This window comes from Homo sapiens, chromosome 11 (assembly GCF_000001405.40).
Source record: "Homo sapiens chromosome 11, GRCh38.p14 Primary Assembly".
NCBI classification, from domain to species: Eukaryota; Metazoa; Chordata; class Mammalia; order Primates; family Hominidae; genus Homo; species Homo sapiens.
Window position 1 is genome coordinate 97,818,622 of NC_000011.10, and position 20,079 is coordinate 97,838,700.

Sequence of the window (20,079 nt, forward strand, 5' to 3'; positions counted from 1 at the left end):
AAAATTCAATTTATCAACATATATAAGCCTCCTAAATATATTTATATATAACAGCTTACTACAGATACGTAAGCATATTCAAGAAACCTTCTTTGATAATGAAAAATGGAAAATAAAATATTTTAGGGAGATAATCTCTATTCTATGCATCCATGTAAAACATCCATGTTTTCTTATTACCATCAACCATATATGTCAGAATTAATCGTTTTATGTTTAACTTATGATCACCCTGAAAAATCTTATATAGAAAGTTTTTGACACAACATTAATTTCCCTAATAACATAGCTGTACTTTATGTACATGTTAGATTTCATTTACTTTTGTTGTTATTGTTATCATATTTACTTTAATAACAAATCTTATATTTTAACAAGTTTCTCAATTGCAATTTCAAATTGTAAACTTTACAGTTGGCTGGCATCTTCTTACAAATTAATTACACTGTTTGAGAAAATTGCTCAGGCCTAGAAGACTGACTAAATATATTAGGGATTCTAGAAACAAATCACACAATAATATTCCTAAAGGGATGTGAGACTCAATGAAGCACTGTTTCTCAAAGAAAAAAGAGAAGAGAAAAAAGGAAAATGAAAACAAAACAAAATTAGAAAAGGTTTTAACATATATTACATTTTTCTTATAAATTCACCCTTAACAAAGATGAGGTCTTAAAACATAAATTCAGTGTTTTATACTTTGAGACAGTGGAAATAACAGTAAAAGGAAAGTCAAAATGTGCGATATAGTTCTGTCTCTAGAGCTAATAGTTGTGTGATAATGGACAAGGTACCTAACTTCTAAGGGTGTTGATTTCTGTGCTGTGAATTAGCTGTATCATTTAATGTTTCCTGCTGTATCATCCAATAATTCACTCCCTTATAGGTAAGTAAAATCATATTCTTACAAATATTATTGAGTTGGTGCTCAAACATACAAGATTTCAAAGAATGCTTTTTACTGGAAACAATCGGGTTAGTGCTATAAGCATCAAAATACTCTCCCCATTTGTTTGATTACTTGACTATTTAGATTTATTTGAAATTATTTGCATTAGCCATAGAATTATTAGCACCATTCCATTATTTGAATTCTTTATAGGTATGAGATAATTCTTACAGTTATTACATCATGGGGATAAAAACGTGATTCCCTTTTTTTCTCCCCTAGATATTAAGAAATGAAAGAAATAAGATATTTCTTCTTGAGTTTGTTCCAACTCATGGGGTTATATTGTCAAATCAGTTTCACATGAATCAGAGAGCATACCCATCGACAAGTTTTATGAAATAATTTCAAGCATACAGGAAATCAGAAGCTCAGAAGACACAGAAACATGTCTGTGCCATTGACATTGAGGGTTGTTCCCCAGGTTCTTGTTTCACATGTTGAGCATGCACCTCTGGCCCAGACAGATGAGGACTCTGGATGAGGTTTTCAGATATTCTTATATAGTAGAGAGCATTTAACTTCTTAAAACAATTCCATTCTTTATTCCAGAGAGCCGTACATCGTCTGTGACATTTTCCAGAGCGCCATGCCTCATACACCCTACGCTCTCTTCACCGCAGAGGATCCTCCGCCAGGGCATGTGTTGAGGACATTTCAGAGGTGAAGTCTCTCCTTTCTGTTTATGCAGAGGTCCATCAGAAAATATTACACATGGTTCCCTGCCTTTGCCTTGTATTTCTGCCCCAGTACTGTTCCCTAAGTAAGGAGCATAAATGGATGTAGACTTGCCGCTTTAACTCATTCCTCCCTGAGTTAAACTGTAAAATCAGCACACAATTGATCAGAAAAGAGACAGAGAAAGACACTGCAAAATAGATGTTTCATAAGAATAACAAGATTAAATTGAAGTTATTATATATCTTTAAAAGATAGTTAATCAGAGTAATGTTAGTAAGAAATGGAGGATACAAAATTGACAGCCACCACGTTAAAAGTTCGTGACACATCAAAGGGCAGGTGTTTGAGAGGACTGGCCATCACAACATCCATGCCTGAGGAAGCCTTGAAACAGTCAAATGACAAACCTCTATTTCCTTTTGTAGTGAGTTATTTTTCCATTCCAAAAAATGTTTTTTAATTCATTCTCCTTGTAGCTAGCCAGCAGAGAAAGCTGTTCAGACTTACTTAACAGTGATGTTTCTCACTGTTAATTAATATAGTATCAGGTTTTTTGTGAACTGTCTGTGCATAACTAAGCATCTTTAAATTCTTGAGGATTTGACTGAGTAACGGAATTAGGAATATTCCAAGGTAATAACGTATTATAGATATATTAGGAAGAAAACTGGCTATGAAAGTAACATGCTAACACCTCCTTTTCTTTAATGAGTCATCTACCTCTGTATTATTTGTTCATTTCCTTTCCCCACTAATACATTAATTTGATTCATAAAAGTTAAGATGCTAAGGTTGCCAGAGTTCTCAGAGGTCCAGATCATCATGCATAGGATTCCCCTCCACAAGATCCTAAATGTCAATTAAATATTTTACATATTTTTTAGATGCTTTCAGTGTTAAGATAGTCATAATCTCACAGGGGAAACCATTATACTAACTACAAAATATGTATTAGTCACCCTGTTATCTTAGACCTTGCAGGTTGCTTCAAAATTATTTCATTCATTTATTCTATACATATTTATTAATATGCTATTCTTTGATAAACTATAGAAAAATAAAACCCACCTTAGAGTATTATATCGGGGGTTGGGGGGGCGCTCCCACCACATATACATTTAGTATATTAAAATACTAGGGCATTGGAATATACTTTACTGGTTACTAGGAAAATGCATAGAAGGGGAATCTAACATAGTTTGGAGGTACAGAGAAAGTTTAATAGAGTAGGTGATGAATTAGGTGAGAAGTAAAAAATAAAAGCAGTGTATTCTCATATAGCCTCATGGCTTTAAATAGCATAATTCTGATGTGCTCAAAATTTATATCTCCAGATCTGACCTCTGCCCTAAATTTCATTTATCAATTGCAAATACAGATCCCCTGGATACCTAATAGAGTAACTTAGTAACTTATCTTGCTCAAAACTGAGCTCATGATATTCTACACACATGCAATCCCATTGAAGTCTTCCCTGTTTCAGACATAATGACTTCATTGTTTCCCAGAAACTTAGGCTGAAAACCTAAATGCATCTTTTTTTCTTTTTGAGATAGAGTCTCTCTCTCACCCAGGCTGAAGTGCAGTGGTGAGATCTCAGCTCACTTCAAACTTCACCTCCCTGGTTCAAGCGATTCTCATGCCTCAGCCTCCCGAGTAGCTGGGACTGCAGGCGTGCGCTACCTTGCCAGGCTAATTCTTTTTGTATTTTTAGTAGAGATGGGGTTTCACCATGTTGACCAGGCTAGTTTCAAACTCGTGACCTCAAGTGATCCACCCCCTTGGCCTCCCAAAGTGCTGGGATTACAGGTATGAGCCACTGTGCCTGGACCTAAATGCATCTTTTTATGCCTCTCTTTCACTCACAAATCCCTCTGCCCATAATCTGCCAATAAATTTTGTTGGTTCTACCTTGAATATTTACCTAGAATTTGGTACCCTCTATACCTGACTCATGTTAACTGAGTCATTTGTGTGGCACAATTTCAGGAGTACCATTTATATTATGTCCTATATGACAAGTTCACTACCAATCTGAGCTAGCATTACTATCTCATGCTTCTATTACTAAAATCAAAAACAAAAGCACATAACTGATATTGTCCTTTCTCTGTTACCCTGCTACAGAATACCCTTAAAGCAAAAATAAGATCAATTATATTAAAATATAATTTACATGGCATCTCTTTTATAATGAATATCTTCTAAGGTTTTCTTATTTCAATCAGAAAAAAAGTCTTAATGCCTTATCGTAATCCAAAAGGCTCTCAGTGATTTTGACAACATTTTTAAAATTCATCAACCATTTCATATCCCTTGCCCTCTGTGCTACAGCCTCAATGCTGTCTTAATATTCTTTACAAGACTTCACAAACTTTGCCCTTGCTGTTCCCTCTATTTTTCTCTTCCCCCAGATAAATGCAGGACTCATTCCCTCATTTCCTTCCAGTCTTCAATAAAACACCATCTTCTCAATGGGAATTTCAGTAGCTATGCTATCTAAAATTTCCCCCCCTCCAATTTGCTACTTTTTCCTTAGCTTATTTCATTATCTAGCATGATATTTACACAGCATCTTGTGTATGGTCTATTAGTCTCACTAAAATGTAATTGTAGGGCAGCAATTTTTGCCTCAATTGTTCAGTTCTATAGGTTAAAGAAGCTACTTCAATGCTTGATACACAGAGGACATTCAAAAATAGTTACTGAATTAACCAAAAACTGCATTTAGGCAATAGAAAACAATAAAATTTGCAAGGTAAAAGAATGAAGTATGTTGAGAAGGACATGAGTAATTGTTTTTTAGTCTAACAACTTTACTGGAATACAATTCACATAACATACAATTTACCTAAAGTATAACATTCAATGGTTTTAGTATATTCACAGGGTTGTACAACCATCACCATAATCATAGAAACTTTTCATCATCCCAAAAGGAAACTATGTCCGTTTTAGAGGCCACTTCTTATTTCCACCCTATGACTCCCCACTGTCATCACCAACCCTGGCCATAATAAATCACTAGTCTACTTCTTGTCTATAGACATGCCTAATCTGGACATTTTAAATAGATAGATTTTATATAGTTAGATTCATTTAATATGTGGTCATTTGTGACTCATTTCTTTCACCCCACATAATATTGTCAAGGTTAATCTATGTCACAGAATGTAAGAGTACTTCATTTGTTTTTACTGCCAAAATATAGTTCATTGTATGGATCTACTATATTTCATTTAGCCATTCATCAGTTGATAGACACTTGGGTTTTCACTTTTGGCTATTATGAATACGGTGCAACAAGCATTTGTGTACAAGTTTTTGTGTGGATATATGCCCTTATTTCTCTTAGATACATGCCTAGAAGTGGAATTGCTGGAATATAAAGTAACTGTCTATTTAACATTTTGAAGAAGTGCCAGATTTTTTACAAAATGAATGAGCCATTTTAATTTCCTACCAGCAATGTATGAGAGGTTCAATTTCTCCACATCTTTGCCAACAGTTATTACCTGGCTTTTAAAATTTTAGACATCCTAGAGAGTGTGAAGTGGTATTCCACTGTATTTTTTTTTTTTTTTTATGAAACAGAGTCTCACTCTGTTGTCCAGGCTGGAGAACAGTGGCATAATCTCAGCTAACCGCAACCTCCACCTCCCAGGTTCAAGCAATTCTCGTGCCTCAACCAGTCAAATTGCTGGGACTACAGGTGTGTACCAACATACCTGGCTAATTTTTGTATTTTTAGTAGAGATGGGGTTTTGTCATGTTGGCCAGGCTGGTCTCAAACTCCTGACCTCAGTGATTCTCCCAAGTTGGCCTCCCAAAGTGCTGGGACTACAGGTGTGAGCCACTGCGCCCGACCCCATTGTATTTTTTATTTGCATTTTCATTATGGTTGATGATGATGAACATCTTGTAATGTTTACTGACCTTTTATATAATAATCTTCTTTGAAGAAATAGCTATCCAGAACCTTTGTCCATTTTTAAGTTGGCTGTGTACCTTTACATTATCGAGTGTAAGCGTTTTTTATATACTATAAACAAACCCTTAAAAATAATTTATCCTATTCTGAGTTGTACTTTTCATTTTCTTAATGTTTTCCATTAAAGCACAAAGTCTTTATTTAATTTATCAAGTCAATATATCTATTTTGTGTCACTCATGCTTTTGTTGTCATGTAAAAAGGTTTCGCCCAACCCAAGTGCCATAAAGATTTCTCATTTTTTTTTCTAATTTTTTACAATTTTTGCTGTTATATTTAGATTCATTTTAAGGTAAGTTTTGTGTACAGTGTGAGGTAAGGGTCCAACTTCATCTTTTGTATGTAGGTATCTAGTTGCCCTGAAATCATTTCTTGAAAAGACTATTCTTTTGCTCATTGAATTGCTTTGACACTCTCATCAAAAATCAAATCACTGTGGCTGGGCGCAGTGGCTCACACCTGTAATCCCAGCACTTTGGGAGGCCGAGGCGGGCGGATCACGAGGTCAGGAGATCGAGACCATCCTGACTAACATGGTGAAACCCTGTCTCTACTAAAAATAAAAAAAATTAGCCGGGTGTGGTGACAGGCGCCTGTAGTCCCAGGTACTCGGGAGGCTGAGGCAGGAGAATGGCATGAACCCGGGAGGTGGAGCTTTCAGTGAGCCGAGATCGCGCCACTGCACTCCAGCCTGGGCGACAGAGCGAGACTCTGTCTCACAAAAAAAAAAAAAAAAAAAAAAAAAAAAAATCAAATCGCTGTTGATATGAGGGTTTATTTATGGACTCTCAGTTGTATTCCATTGACCTTCATGTTTATTTTTTCCAATACCACTCTGTTTTGATTATTGTAGCTAAGTAGTAAGTTTTAAAACTGGGATATGTGTGTCTTACCATAGTTTAAAGGTTATTTATGTTATTTCAGGTCCCTTGAATTTTCATATTAATCTTCTCATCAATTTGTAATTTGTCCAAAGGAGTCAGCTTGGGCGAATTTCCAGAGTGGTATTCTTATGTGTCCTTCTAGGGATTTTATAGTTTTAGCTTTTACATTTAAGTCTTTACTTCACCTTGAGTTGATTTTTGTATGTGGTGAAAGGAAGGGGTCCAATTTCAATCTTCTTCATGAAGAAAACTCCAAAAGCACTTGCAACAAAAACAAAAATTGAGAAGTGAAACCTAATAAAACTAAAGGGCTTCTGCACCACAAAAGAAACTATCAACACAGTAAACAGACAACCTATAGATCGGGAGAAAATATTTGCAAACTATGCATCTGACAAAGGTTTAATATCCAGATTCTATAAGGAACTTAAGTCAGCAAGCAAAAATCAAACAACCACATTAAAAAAAGTGGGCAAAGGACATGAACAGACACTCCTCAAAAGAATACATACACGTGACAAACAAGCATATGAAAAAATACTCAACATCATGATCATTATAGAAATGCAAGTCAAAACCGCCATGAGATACTGTCTCATACCAGTCAGAATGGCTATTACTGAAAAGTCAAAATAACAGAAGATGGTGAGGTTGCAGAGAAAAGGGAATGATTATACACTCTTAGTGGGAATGTAAATCAGTTCAGCCACTGTGGAAAGCAGTTTGGAAATTTCTCAAAAGAACCTAAAATAGAACTGGCATTCCCATCACCATGTATATACCCAAATGAATGTGAATTGTTCATAAAGACACATGCATACTCATATATTCACCACAGCAATATTTATAATAGCAAAGACATGAAATCAACCTAGCTGCACATCTATAGTGGAGTGGATAAAGAAAATGGGGTATATATCCACCATATAGTGGAGTGGATAAAGAAAATGGGGTATATATTCACTATGTAGCCATGAAAAACAACAAAATCACATCCTTTGCAACAACATGGATGGAGCTGGAAATTTACACAGGAATGGAAATTTACACAGGAATGGAAAACCAAATACCATTTAATCTCACTTATAAGTGGGAGCCACTGGCCAGGTACAGTGGCTCACACCTGAAATCCCAGAACTTTGGGAGGCTGAGGTGGGCAGATCACTTGGATCAGGAGTTTGAGTCCAGCCTGGCCCACATGGAAAACTCCATCTCTACTAAGAATACAAAAATTAGCCAGATGTGGTGGTGTGCACCTGTAATCCCAGCTACTCAGGAGGCTGAGGCAGGAGAATTGTTTGAACCCAGGAGGTGGAAGTTGCAGTGAGCCAAGATCGTGCCATTGCACTCCAGCCTGGGTGACAAAGAGAGACTTCATCTCAAAGAAAAAACAAAACAAAACAAAACAAAAAGAAAACAAAAACGTGGGCGCTAAACACTGAAATACACAAAGAAGGGAACAATAGACACTGGGGCCATCTTGAGGGTGGAGGATAGAAGGATGAGGATTGAAAAACTACCTATCAGGTACTATGTTCATTGCCTCAGTGACAAAATAATCTGTACAGCAGACCCTCACAACAGGCAATTTACCTATGTAACAAACCTCCACATGTACCCCCTGAACTTAAAAAGTTGGAAAGAAAAAAAAAAGAAGTCAGCTTGTATTTTGATGGGTAACACATTGAATCTATAGAAAAATGTAAGTATTAACCCATCTTAACAATATTGCTTTTCTATTTATGAATATGAGATATTTTTCTATTTGTTTTAAGTTTTCTTTAATTGTTTCAACCATGTCTTACAGTTTCTGAGAATAAATTTTATACTTATCTTGTTAAATTTAGACCTGGCTTTTTTATCATTTTGATGCTACTGTAAATTGAATTGTTTTTCAAATTAGATTTTTGAAATGTTCTTTGCTAGAGTATAGAAATCTAATATATTTTTATACAGTCGTCCTCACAATTTTGTATTTTGGATCCTGCATCCTGATTTCGTATATTTATTTTAATACTTTTTAGTGGTTTTCTTAGGATTTTCTTTATAAAAGATAGTGTCATCTGCAAAGAGAGATGGTTTTAATTCTTTCACTCCTATATGAATGCATTTTATTTCATGTTTTTGAATAATTTGCCTGGCTAGAACTTCCAATTTTATGTTGAATAGAAATTATAAAAATGGGCATCCCGGACTTCTTGGTTTTAAATAAAAAGCATTAAGTCTTTCTCCATTAAGTATAATGTCAGCTGTGGTTTTATTGTGCATACACATTATCAGGTTGAGGGAGTTTCCTTCTATTTTTAGTTTGTTGAGTGTTTTCATCATGAAGTAGTGTTGCGTTTCATTAATGTTCTTGTTTCCTTTTCTGTTTCTATTGAAATGACCACGTGTTTTTGCTCTTCAATCTATGACATTATGTAATATATTAATGGATTTCACATATTAAACTTTATATTCGCAGGAAAAATCCACCTTGGTTATCAAATATAACTTTTTTTATGTTACTGGATTAGGTTTGCTAGCATTTGGTTGAAGACACTGGGCTGCATTTTTCTTTTCTCGTGATGTGTTTTTCTTGCTTTGGTATCAGGCTAATAGTGGCTTTATACGTTCAGAAGTGTTCCCTATTTTTTGGAAGAATTTCTGAGTAATTGTTTTTAAATGTACGTGGGTGTGAATATACACAATTTGTAATGGACATATTTATAAATATACATATTTGGTAGTATTCACAAGTAAAGCTGTCTGTACCCAGATAATTCTTTGTGGGAAAGTTTTTACAACTAATTCAATTATTTACTTGTCCTAGGCTTATTAAGGGTTTTCTATTTTCTCTTGAGCCCATTTTGGTAGCTATGTCTTTCTAGAACTTGTCCATTTCATATGCATTTTGTAATTTGTTGGCATACAATTTTGCATCCTATTCTTTTTTATGTATTTCAATTTCTGTAAGATCAATAGAGATATACCATCATTCAATTTGGTTTTAGTAATTTGAGTCGTCGCTCTTTCTTGATCAGTCTAGATAAAGGCTTGTTAATTTTGTTGGTCTTTTCAAATAACCAACTTTTGGAGTCATTGTTTTTCTCTATTTTCCATTTCCTACTTAATTAATCTCTGTTAATATTACAAATTATTGTTAATATAGGCTTTATTATACATTTTGCTTGCTTTAAGTTTAGTTTGCTCTCTTTTATCAGTGCTTTCAGTGGTGATTTTCTTTTCTTTCTTTTTTTTTTTTTTTTTTGAGACAGAGTCTCACTCTCTTTCCCAGGCTGGGAAGGGCAGTGGTGTGATCCTGGCTCACTGCAACTTCCACCTCCTGCCTTCAAGTGATTCTCATGCCTCAGCCTACTGAGTAGCTGGGACTACAGGCATGCATCACCATGTCCAGCTAATTTTTGTATTTTTAGTAGAGACAAGGTTTTGCCACGTTGGCCAGGCTGGTCTCAAACTCCTGACCTGCCTCGGCCTCCCAAAGTGCTGGGATTACAGGCATGAGCCACCACGCCAGGCCTGTGATTTTCTTGATTTGAAATCTTTTCTTAAATTTTTAAAAACATAGTTATTTCCAGATGAAAATTTTCCCTTAAGAGCTGTCTTAGCTGTATCATGCAAATTATGGTATATTGTACTTTCATTTTTCTTTATCTCGAAATATATCCTAACTTCTAATTTGACTTCTTCTTTGACCCACTGGCTATTTAGGAGTGTTTGATTTAATTTCCAAATATTTGTGAGTTTCTCAACTGTCTTTCAGTTATTGATTTCTAATTATACTCCATTATGGTCATAGAACATACTTGCATTATTACAACTCTTTTTAAATTTATTGAAGTTTTGTTAAGACCTGTTAAATTGTCTAATCTGGTGAATGTCTATGGTGTCGAGTTGGTTTATAATATAGTAATTTGGTTTTTATTGGAATATAAGTGGCAATTTCTGAGACTAAGAAATAGAGGTAGAAAATGATAGAGTCCCACATTCTTCAAGTTCTAAAGTAATCATGCCATTTTTTGAGATCATTTGTTGTTATTAAGCTTTACCTTAGCATAAAAATAAACTATATACATATTTTCAGTTTCTACCTATTGGCCATATATCTGCCCTATGGAGCTCAAAGTTTTCTCTCTCCACTCATCTGTTCTCCAAATATTAGTATAAAATTTTCTGGATGTCTTAAATCTTTTTCTCTATTTCAGAGTTCTCTTTTTAACACCACTATTCTTCAAATCATAATTTCCCTACACCAGATGTTAGGTAGAAACAGTCAAGAATTAAAAAAATAGTTATGCACTGCTCAGGATAAGGTAGTTTTGTGAAAAAACAGATAAATATGGACAGATAACTTATAACGTTTACATTTTTACATTAAGATTTCCCCTGTATAATACATAACATATTTTGTGCCATGGGTTTGTTTAGGGTTAAGCTCAGCAATGGGAAAAAGATTTCTATTCAATAAATGGTGCTGGGAGAACTGGCTTTGAAACTAAACCTTTTTTTTTATACCATGTAAAAAAATTAACTCAAGTGAAATTAAAGACTTAAATGTAAAACCCAAAACTATAAAAATCCTGGAAGGCAAGGTAAGCAATACCATTCAGAACATAGGCATGGGCAAAGATTTCATGACGAAAATGCCAAAAGCAATTGCAAAGAAAGCAAAAATTGACAAATGGGATATAATTAAACTAACGTGCTTCTGCACAGCAAAAGAAACCATCAACAGAATAAACCAACAACATACAGAATGGGAGAAAGTTTTTGCAAACTATGTATCCAACAAAAGTCTAATATCCAGCATCTATAAGCTACTTAAACAAATTTACAAAAAAAAAAAAAACATAAAAACGTAGGCAAAGGATATGAACAGACACATTACAAAAGGAATGCGGCTAACAATCATATGAAAAAAGGTTCAACATTACTGATCATTAGAAAAATGCAAATCAAAACCACAATAAGATACCATCTCACAACAGTCAGAATGGCTATTATTAATAAGTCAGAAAACAATCAATGCTGGCAAGGTTGTAGAGACAAAGAAACGCTTATACACTGTTGGTGGGAGTGTAAATTAGTTCAACCATTGTGGAAGACAGCTTGGTGATTCTTCAAAGACCTAAAGACAGAAATACCATTCAACCCAGCAATCCCATTAATGAGTATATACCCAAAGGAATATAAATTTTTCTATTATGAAGACACATGCATGTGTATGTTCATTGCAGCACTATTCACAATAGCAAAGACATGAAATTAACCCAAATGCCCATCAGTGGTAGACTGGATAAAGAAAGTGTGGTATATATACACCATAAAATATTATGCAGCCATGTAAAAGAACAAGATCATGTCCTTTGCAGGGCCATTATCCTCAGCAAACTAATGTAGGAACAGAAAACCAAATACTGTATATTCTCACTTGTAAGTGGGAGCTAAATGCTGAGAACACATGGAAACATAGAGAGGAACAACAAACACTGGGACCTATTGGAGGGTCGAGGGTAGCAGGAGTGAGAGGATCAGGAAAAATAATGAATGGGTACTATTAATAGGCTTAATATCTGGGTGATGAAACGATCTGTATAACAAACTACTATGACACAACTTTACCTACGTAACAAACCTGCATTTGTACCCCTGAACTTAAAATAAAAGAGTTATGCTCAGTAATAAAGGCTACCATCCTCTCTTCTCCTAGAAAGAAAGGGAATTTTCTCTGGGGTATCCACAAAGATACTATTGAAGGGATAACAATCAGAAACTCTGATATGGATGAAACATAGGTCCACCACAGACGGATGCGCCTCCATTTCCTCGATAGGTCTAGATCATTCACAGAGGTGCCTCTATGCCTTCTTTTAATAATCACCAGAAATAACTTGTCTTTCCTTTGCTAACCTACATCATATTCCCCATTTAGAGTTTTGTTAATAAAGCTTGGTGTATTTTCAGGATATCTGGATATGCCTTCTAAAAACAGAAATCTCAAAAATACAATATCTATTGTTGTGCAGTTTATTTTCTTTCCCTTTTTCTGCCAAGATGCACATTTCTATTTACTAACCTATTGATAATGGATTTACCTTACTTGCGCCTTCCTAGAACGTTTTTTTTTCCCCTAAGAATTGTTCTTCTAACACATCTAGGAATTATCATTCTTTCTGATAAGAAAGATCATTCTTCAAACTCTTTCATACACTTTGCTACAGAGAAAAACAGCTTATATTTATTGCTTGTATGTTTTGTTATCTCATCAGAAAGGATATTGAAGCAGAAAATACTGGCCAAATTTATGGGTGTCAGATTAACTATACTCTTTTTTTCAATCTACCAGGACACTATGAGGGAAAGAATCATACCTTAATGTCCAGGTTATACCTGTTTGTATATCATCCACATTTTCTACTTTAATTTTCTTCCTGTCCCACCCCTATCCTGAATAATTATCAATGGTTCAAGGTCTATTAGGGTTTGTCATATTCATCTTATCCTTGGGACTTACTCAGATTTTAAATAGCCTCCAATAAATTTACTCATACATTTGCCTAAATATTTCAGGATGTGCATTTTATTAAATATCTCTCAGAACAGTTCTATATTCTCAATATTATAAAATCTTACATATTATGTCCCTCTCTTAAAGATACATAATTTACAGTATGCTAAAATTTTTAGAATTACTGCCATATTTACTTCTGTTTAGCTTGTTTATTAATTTGTTAAACAAATATTTATGTAGAACCATTTTGCCAGGCATATAAATAAAATTTTATCAAATACTTGCTTATTCAGCTTTTATATTCTCCTATGTTATTATAGTAATATTTGTATTATATGCTGAAGAGTTTTCAACATTAATGTTTACCTATCAATAAATATTTATGGAATCTTTACAATGTACCCATGGCATATTAGATAAAAGGATTATAAAATGTGCATTCTGCTTAAGAATTTCATACCATGTATTGGATAGCATGATATATGAATATTAAAGATAAATACAATAATAAAATGTAACACAGGTTCTGGCTCTACTAGGAGTCAGAGGGTGAGGATATGAAGAGGGTAGGAGCTGATCAGGTTCTTGAAGGCTGAGGGCAAGAGAATGGTATGAATATAAAAGTGTAATTAATAAACTTGAATTTAAAAATTTACAGGAAAAAATTCTAGAAGACTTTATTTACTAAATACCCTTCTACCTCATTGTCCAATTTTAGCCAGTCTTTTTATCTCAGATGTCAGTATATTCTGAACAACTGTTTCCCCATTTGTAAACAGAGTCTATAAGTAAAGACCTAACTATCTAGATAATAAAATGGATTAATTAGCTATTATTCCAAAATACAAAGTAGAATCACATTTTTTAAAGCTAGGGAAAGTAAACCTTTTGTTTATTTTAGACTACTAGTTGCTAGGGAATGTGGATTATTTTGCCAATTGCACATCATATTAATTTAAAAGGGGATATGGTAATTTTAGAGCACAGATATGTTCAGATATGACTTTGACCACGTGATCAAAATGAACACCACCAGTAGCAGGACGTGTTGATATCATATACTCTTTGATATAATATATGGAGATGGGCACGTCATTTCTGATTTTAATAATAAGGAAACGTCAGACAAATCCAAATTAAGAGATAGTCTATAAACTAATTGGCCAACATTCTTCAAAATACCAAGGTCATAAAAGATAAAGAAATACTGGGGATCTTAGAAGATGCTTATAAAACAAGACTGTTAATTACAATGTGGGATACTCCATATGTCACTGGACTAGAAAGAGGATATTAGTAGAGAAATAGGATATGAATAAGTCTTATCATAAATGCTTTTGTATGAGCATTAATTTTCTAGTTTTGATAATGTTATATGTTCATGTAAAATGTAATTATTTAAGGAAGTCAAGTAAATAACATATGAGAAATCTTTTATATTTGCAGTGCTGTTGCCAATGTGAAATTATTTCAAATGAAAAGTTAGAATATGAAAAAAATTAAAAATTAAATGTTGGTTCATTTTTTCTTTTACATATGTCCATTTTTCCTTAAACCAATTTGTAAGAAAAAATTCTTAAAGGCTTTATCATCTTATTAAAAAATGGTGTGGCAGACAGAATGATAGTGCCCCAAAGGTGTCTACATCCTGATCCCTGGAACCTAGAAATATGTTGCTCTACATGGCAAAAAAGAATTATGGATATGATCAAGTTTAAAGATCTTAAGATATGGAGATTATCCTGGATTATCTGGACAGACCAAATGTAATCACAAGACTCCTTAAAAGAGGGAAATAAAAGATCAGAAGCAGAAGAAATTGTGATGATGAAAGCAGAGGTCAGAGAGCAAAGGAGATTTAAAGAAGCTACACTACTAGTTTTGAAGCTAGCAGTCCACCAGGAATCTAGATAACTTCTAGAAGCTGGAAAAGGCAAAGAAATGCATTCTTTTGTAGAGCCTCCAGAAGGAATAGTCCTGATAACACCTTGATTTTAGACTCTCCTCTCCTCTCCATTTTCTGACAGGGTTCAATTCTGTCACCCAGGCTGGAGTGCAGTGGCACGATCATAGCTCACTGCATCCTCGATCTCCTGGGCTTAAGTGATCCTTCTGCCTCAGCCTCCTGAGTAGCTGGGATTACAGGTGTGCACCATGATGTCTGGCTAATGTTTATTTTTTGGAGATACACGATCTCCCTATATTGTCCAAGCTGGTCTCTAACTCCTGAACTCAAGCGATATTCTCACCTTGGCCTCCCAGAGTGTTGGGATTACAGGTGTGAGCCATCACACCTGGTCAGATTTTAGAACTTCTTACCTCCAGAAAGGCAAGACAGTAAATTTATGTTGCTTTACGCCGCTAAGTTTGTACTATTTTGTTACTACAGCAATAGAAATCTAATATAGAAGGAAATAAACTCAATTGGCTAGGACTCTTCATGCCACTGAATGTCAAACAATTTCTGTCCTCACTGCCTTTGTGTGTGCCTAATTTATGTCAGAATCTCACTGAAGAGGAACTTGGGTAAAATTTTGTGCCCATCTTCCCATCAGAGACTTTACTCAGCTTATATCAATATCATAATCACTACTGAAGTCTCAGAGGAGCCTCTAATATACCGTACTCCATCAACTGGGAGGTAAAAATGAAGCAAAAACAATATCTTTTTTTTAAGCAAATTGAGGACAGTATTGAAGACAAGACATTAATTCTATTGATATATGGGCCAGAACCTTTAAGTCCCAGAATTAGCCATGAAATCTTTGCATCAATTTATGGCATGTAAGAATCAAGAGATCTGAAATCTTGCTGGGCAGATACATTCCCAAGAAAATGGTATGGCTGAGCCAATATTTATCAATCGCAGAAAAAAAAAGTCCAGAAGCATACCAGTTTTACTTCTTTCACTAAATGGAAGAAGCATTCCCAAGAAACTCCCATCATCATTGTCATTGTCGTCATCACCAGTATAATCATCATTATAAAAATAACAGTAGAAACAACAGCAATAAAGTGATACCAAGGCAAAACAATATAAATTTAAATAGTATATGCATTATAAAATATTTGAAGTATAACTAGATCATGAGAATGATTCTTTTTCTGGACTTTATTCTTATACTACAGTCTTAGTCACACGTGTGTGTGTGTATATATTATATATATATATATATATAGTAGTGACTAAACCTTGCATATAGGAATATCTAAATGTTTTTATTGGTATGTCCCTCTCTATAAAAAAATCAAATCTTAAATATACATATACATGTTAATTTCTAAATCATATACATGTGCTACCAATGCATGTATACGATTTATAAATGTGTGTATAGCAAATATCACAGATATCAGTACTTAATTTTTTTCTGATTTCCCTATGAAAATGAATATAAACACATAGAATCCTCAACATAAAGATCTTCTTATACACCCATCAGGGTTCCTAGCAATACATGTAGAAGTCTACATATCTACACTAAGTTTTTAGCAAAATAACCCTTCCACTTTTGACAAGGGACCTTTTGTGTGCTCTCAGTATGTATCAATTATATGTCCCAAACAAGATCCCTACAAAGCAATTTTAGTATTTCTGAAGAGCAAGCCTCCATAGAAGACAGAAAAGATTGAGAAGGCAAATGAGCTTCTTTTCTTGTGTTGAGTGCCCAAACAGAAAAAAAAGTAAATGAGTGAATAATAAATAAATACACAAACAAATAAACAGATAGTTTAGCCTGCCACAAAAAGGGGGTCAAAATAGGAATTACAGTCTGATGAAATGAGATTTCTAAAATGGAGATTACTTTTTAAGAATAATTGTAGTTCATGGGTTCTTCTTGATTCCCTAGGTTTCAGAATAAAGTTTAATAGATGTGGACTGGCTGGTGAACTGATCTCTCTGAAAATCACAACTGCTGAAGAAGATCAGAATTTTTCTTTGCATCTACTTTCATATATTTAATTACTCTTCAGTTTGAATTGCATTTTCTTTTGCAGTAAATCTAAACAGTGGCTGCTGGGACATAGTCACACATATGATCATCTTTGCTGTGTAAAAATAAATGCTTAATTTAATAAATAATTCAATCATTCTTTCTCCGATATAAATTTCTGTTTTCATTTACCTTTATTTCTACTTTTCATCATATTTTATTGAACATTTAATTATGAGGCATATGCTTTCTAATACTGCAGGTATCAAAATCTAGGAAGATAAGCAAGTAAGCAAATAATTTCAACTGAATATAATCTGTACTTAAATAGAAAAAAATATATATAGGATTCAGGGCTGTAACATAGGAAGGAATAACTAGCTTCATATGGTAGGTTGAGGAAAAATTTCACAGTTTAGGAAATGCTTAAGGTGGATCTTGAAGGATGAGTAAGAGTTCAGCACATGTTCAGGTAAAAGGCACAAATAAGATGGTATAGAAGACATGGCATACCATGATATGGCTACATATGAAAAGAGGGAGTAAAAGCCACAGGAAGAATGAAGAAAGAGAGAAGAGAGCTAAACTTTCATAAAGTTTATAATTCTGTGTAGATATGGAGAGATTCTAGTGCAAAAGTGAAATTGCTTATGAACATACTTTTATCTTAGGAACACTGAACGCCAAGATCACAATATTCAGATAATAGGACAGGGAGTCCTTTCTCTATACACAAAATAATTCAGGCTAAAAGAAAAAAACAGTTGTTCTGATGTTTGAGCAAATTAACCTTGTGTATATTTGTTGGTCACTTGAGATGGGGAAAGGAGTTGGGACAACGAATGCTTATTGACATTTACAATTTACAAGAGAAGATATAAGAATACGTAGCCTAGGGACCCTGATGGTGTTACAGGTTTTGGTAGAGATTTTACATTATATATTATTAACTGAGGTATATAAATTACCTGTCTTACTTAGTCTATAGTCAAATTTTCAAGTTTACCTTTTCCAATTATTCTTCCTTTCTGCAATGTACATGAAAAAAAAAACCTGTTAAGATGAATCTTCTGATATTTTCCCTTTTCCTATGGTTGCTTTTGCGAGCAACATTTTGAGTATCACATGAAATTCACAACTTATAATTGCCACTGCTCTACACAACAGGCTGATTTCTTACCAAGTTATTCACTGTTCTAAGGAACTGGAGTAAAAAAGCATTCATTTCCTAATGATGGAGCATCTTCGACCTTAGCAAAGCTGCCTCAGAAAGATCTGGATCTTCTCAAAATGCTTCGACAGGACTCTTGAGCTAAATTTCTCAAAGATGTCATTATAAATTGCAGTATAACAGCAATTTATGCCCAATGACCAATTATCAGATGTCTGGCAGTTTGTTTTTTTATCAGTAGTGTTCAAAACACCAACTGATTCAACATTTTTAAAACGTTAGATAAAATTCAAAGCTTTCTCTAAAATAATTCCATATAGTTGCCTTTTAATTTACTTCATTGAGGCCAAGCACTGTGGCTCATGCCTGTAATCCCAACACTTTGGGAGGCTGAGGCAGGCAAATCACTTGCGGCTAGGAGTTCAAGACCAGCCTGGTCAACATGGTGAAACCCCATCTCTACTAAAAATACAAAAATTAGCCAGAAGAAGTTGTCCCAGCTTCTTGGCAGGCTGAGGCAGCAGAATCGCTCGAACCCAGAAGGTGGAGGTTGCAGTGAGGCAAGATCTAGCCACTCCAGCCTGGGTGACAGAGAAGACTCCATCTCAAAAATAAAAAATTAAAAAAAATTAAATTTAAAACAAATATAGTTTATTGAGAAAGAAATAGAGTGGGAATTGTGAGTCTAAGTGAGTCTGTGTGCCTGAAAGTGGATAATATTTAATGCATGACAGCAAGGGGGAAACTATCATAACTTCTAATAAAAAGTATGGAAAAGGCGATCATAAAATAAATTATGCACAACTTTTAAAGAGTATTTGTTTTGGAGCAGGCATGTATTTTGAAAGGCCTATGGAGACCAAATCAAGCTGTAAATAGTATTCTTACAACACTCCATGAGCTGAAGTTTCCTTTTTTTATTTTTTATTTTATTATTATTATTATTGAGATAGTCTCACTCTGTAACCCAGGCTGCAGTGCAGTAGCACAATCTCTGCTCACTGCAACCTCGGTCTCCCGGGTTCAAGTGATTCTCTTGCCTCAGCCTCCCGAGTAGCTGAGATTACAGGCACCTACCACCAAACCTGGCTAATTTTTGTATTTTTTATAGAGACGGGGTTTCGCTGTGTTGGCCAGGCTGGTCTTGAACTCCTGGCTTCGAGTGATCCACCTACCTTGGCATCCCAAACTGCTGTGATTACAGGCGTGAGTCACCGTGCCTGGCCTGAAGTTTTAAATGAAGTATTTTGCTATATTCTTCCACACATTAAAGCTTATCTGCATACCTAGTAATCATCAGTATTTTGTCTGATGACAATTAGACAATTAGTTATGTTTTTATGGCCAGTCTGGCATTTGATTGTAAGATTGTAATTTTACCAGAGAAAGGATGCACATATTTACATTCACTAAAGTAAGACACCATATAGGAAGGTATTTCCTTTTAAAAAAAAAATTTCAAAGGAGGATTACTAAAACAAATAGGATTTGTTTTATAAGATACTATAGCAAGAAAATTATATAACTGGAAATGGGAAAAGAAATAGACACCTCAATCTAATAAACACAAAGGCAATTTTCTTTTCCCAGAAGAGCTCAAATTATATTCTTGTCTCAACCTACTGTGGAGCACTTGTTTTCACATTTCTTGTACCTGTTCACAAGGCTCTGATCAAAATTCATTATGAGGTAGTCCTCAGATTTATCCTGTTTCCAGCATTTTCTTTAATAAAAGTTCCCTCAAAAATTAGCATTCATTATGTGCCATGCCTTATACTAAGTGTCTTCTACTCATTACTTTACCTAATTTTCATAAAATTCTGTGAGGTAGATGCTATGAAAATTTATTCCAGAGATGAAGACAGTAAAGCTAAGAAGAGTGAAATGTTTGATTAGTACATAATGAATTTTTTAAAAAGTCCTACATTCAGTTCAAAGTCATCGAATTTTCTTTAAA

General features: G+C 34.4%; 2 annotated features.

The window, feature by feature from the left end:
* Positions 812 to 2,011: an enhancer, noted in NCBI's record as "MED14-independent group 3 enhancer chr11:97690433-97691632 (GRCh37/hg19 assembly coordinates)". NCBI's record gives its function as "activates an origin of replication core promoter dependent on BRD2, BRD4, P300/CBP and CDK7 cofactors, and independent of MED14, by STARR-seq in HCT116 cells {active_cell/tissue: HCT116}" and the evidence as "EXISTENCE:reporter gene assay evidence [ECO:0000049][PMID:35650434]".
* Positions 19,071 to 19,240: a silencer, noted in NCBI's record as "fragment chr11:97708692-97708861 (GRCh37/hg19 assembly coordinates)". NCBI's record gives its function as "represses an EF-1alpha promoter that drives an FKBP-Casp9 reporter gene in an ReSE screen in phorbol 12-myristate 13-acetate-treated (for megakaryocytic differentiation) K562 erythroleukemia cells {active_cell/tissue: K562(+PMA)}" and the evidence as "EXISTENCE:reporter gene assay evidence [ECO:0000049][PMID:32094911]".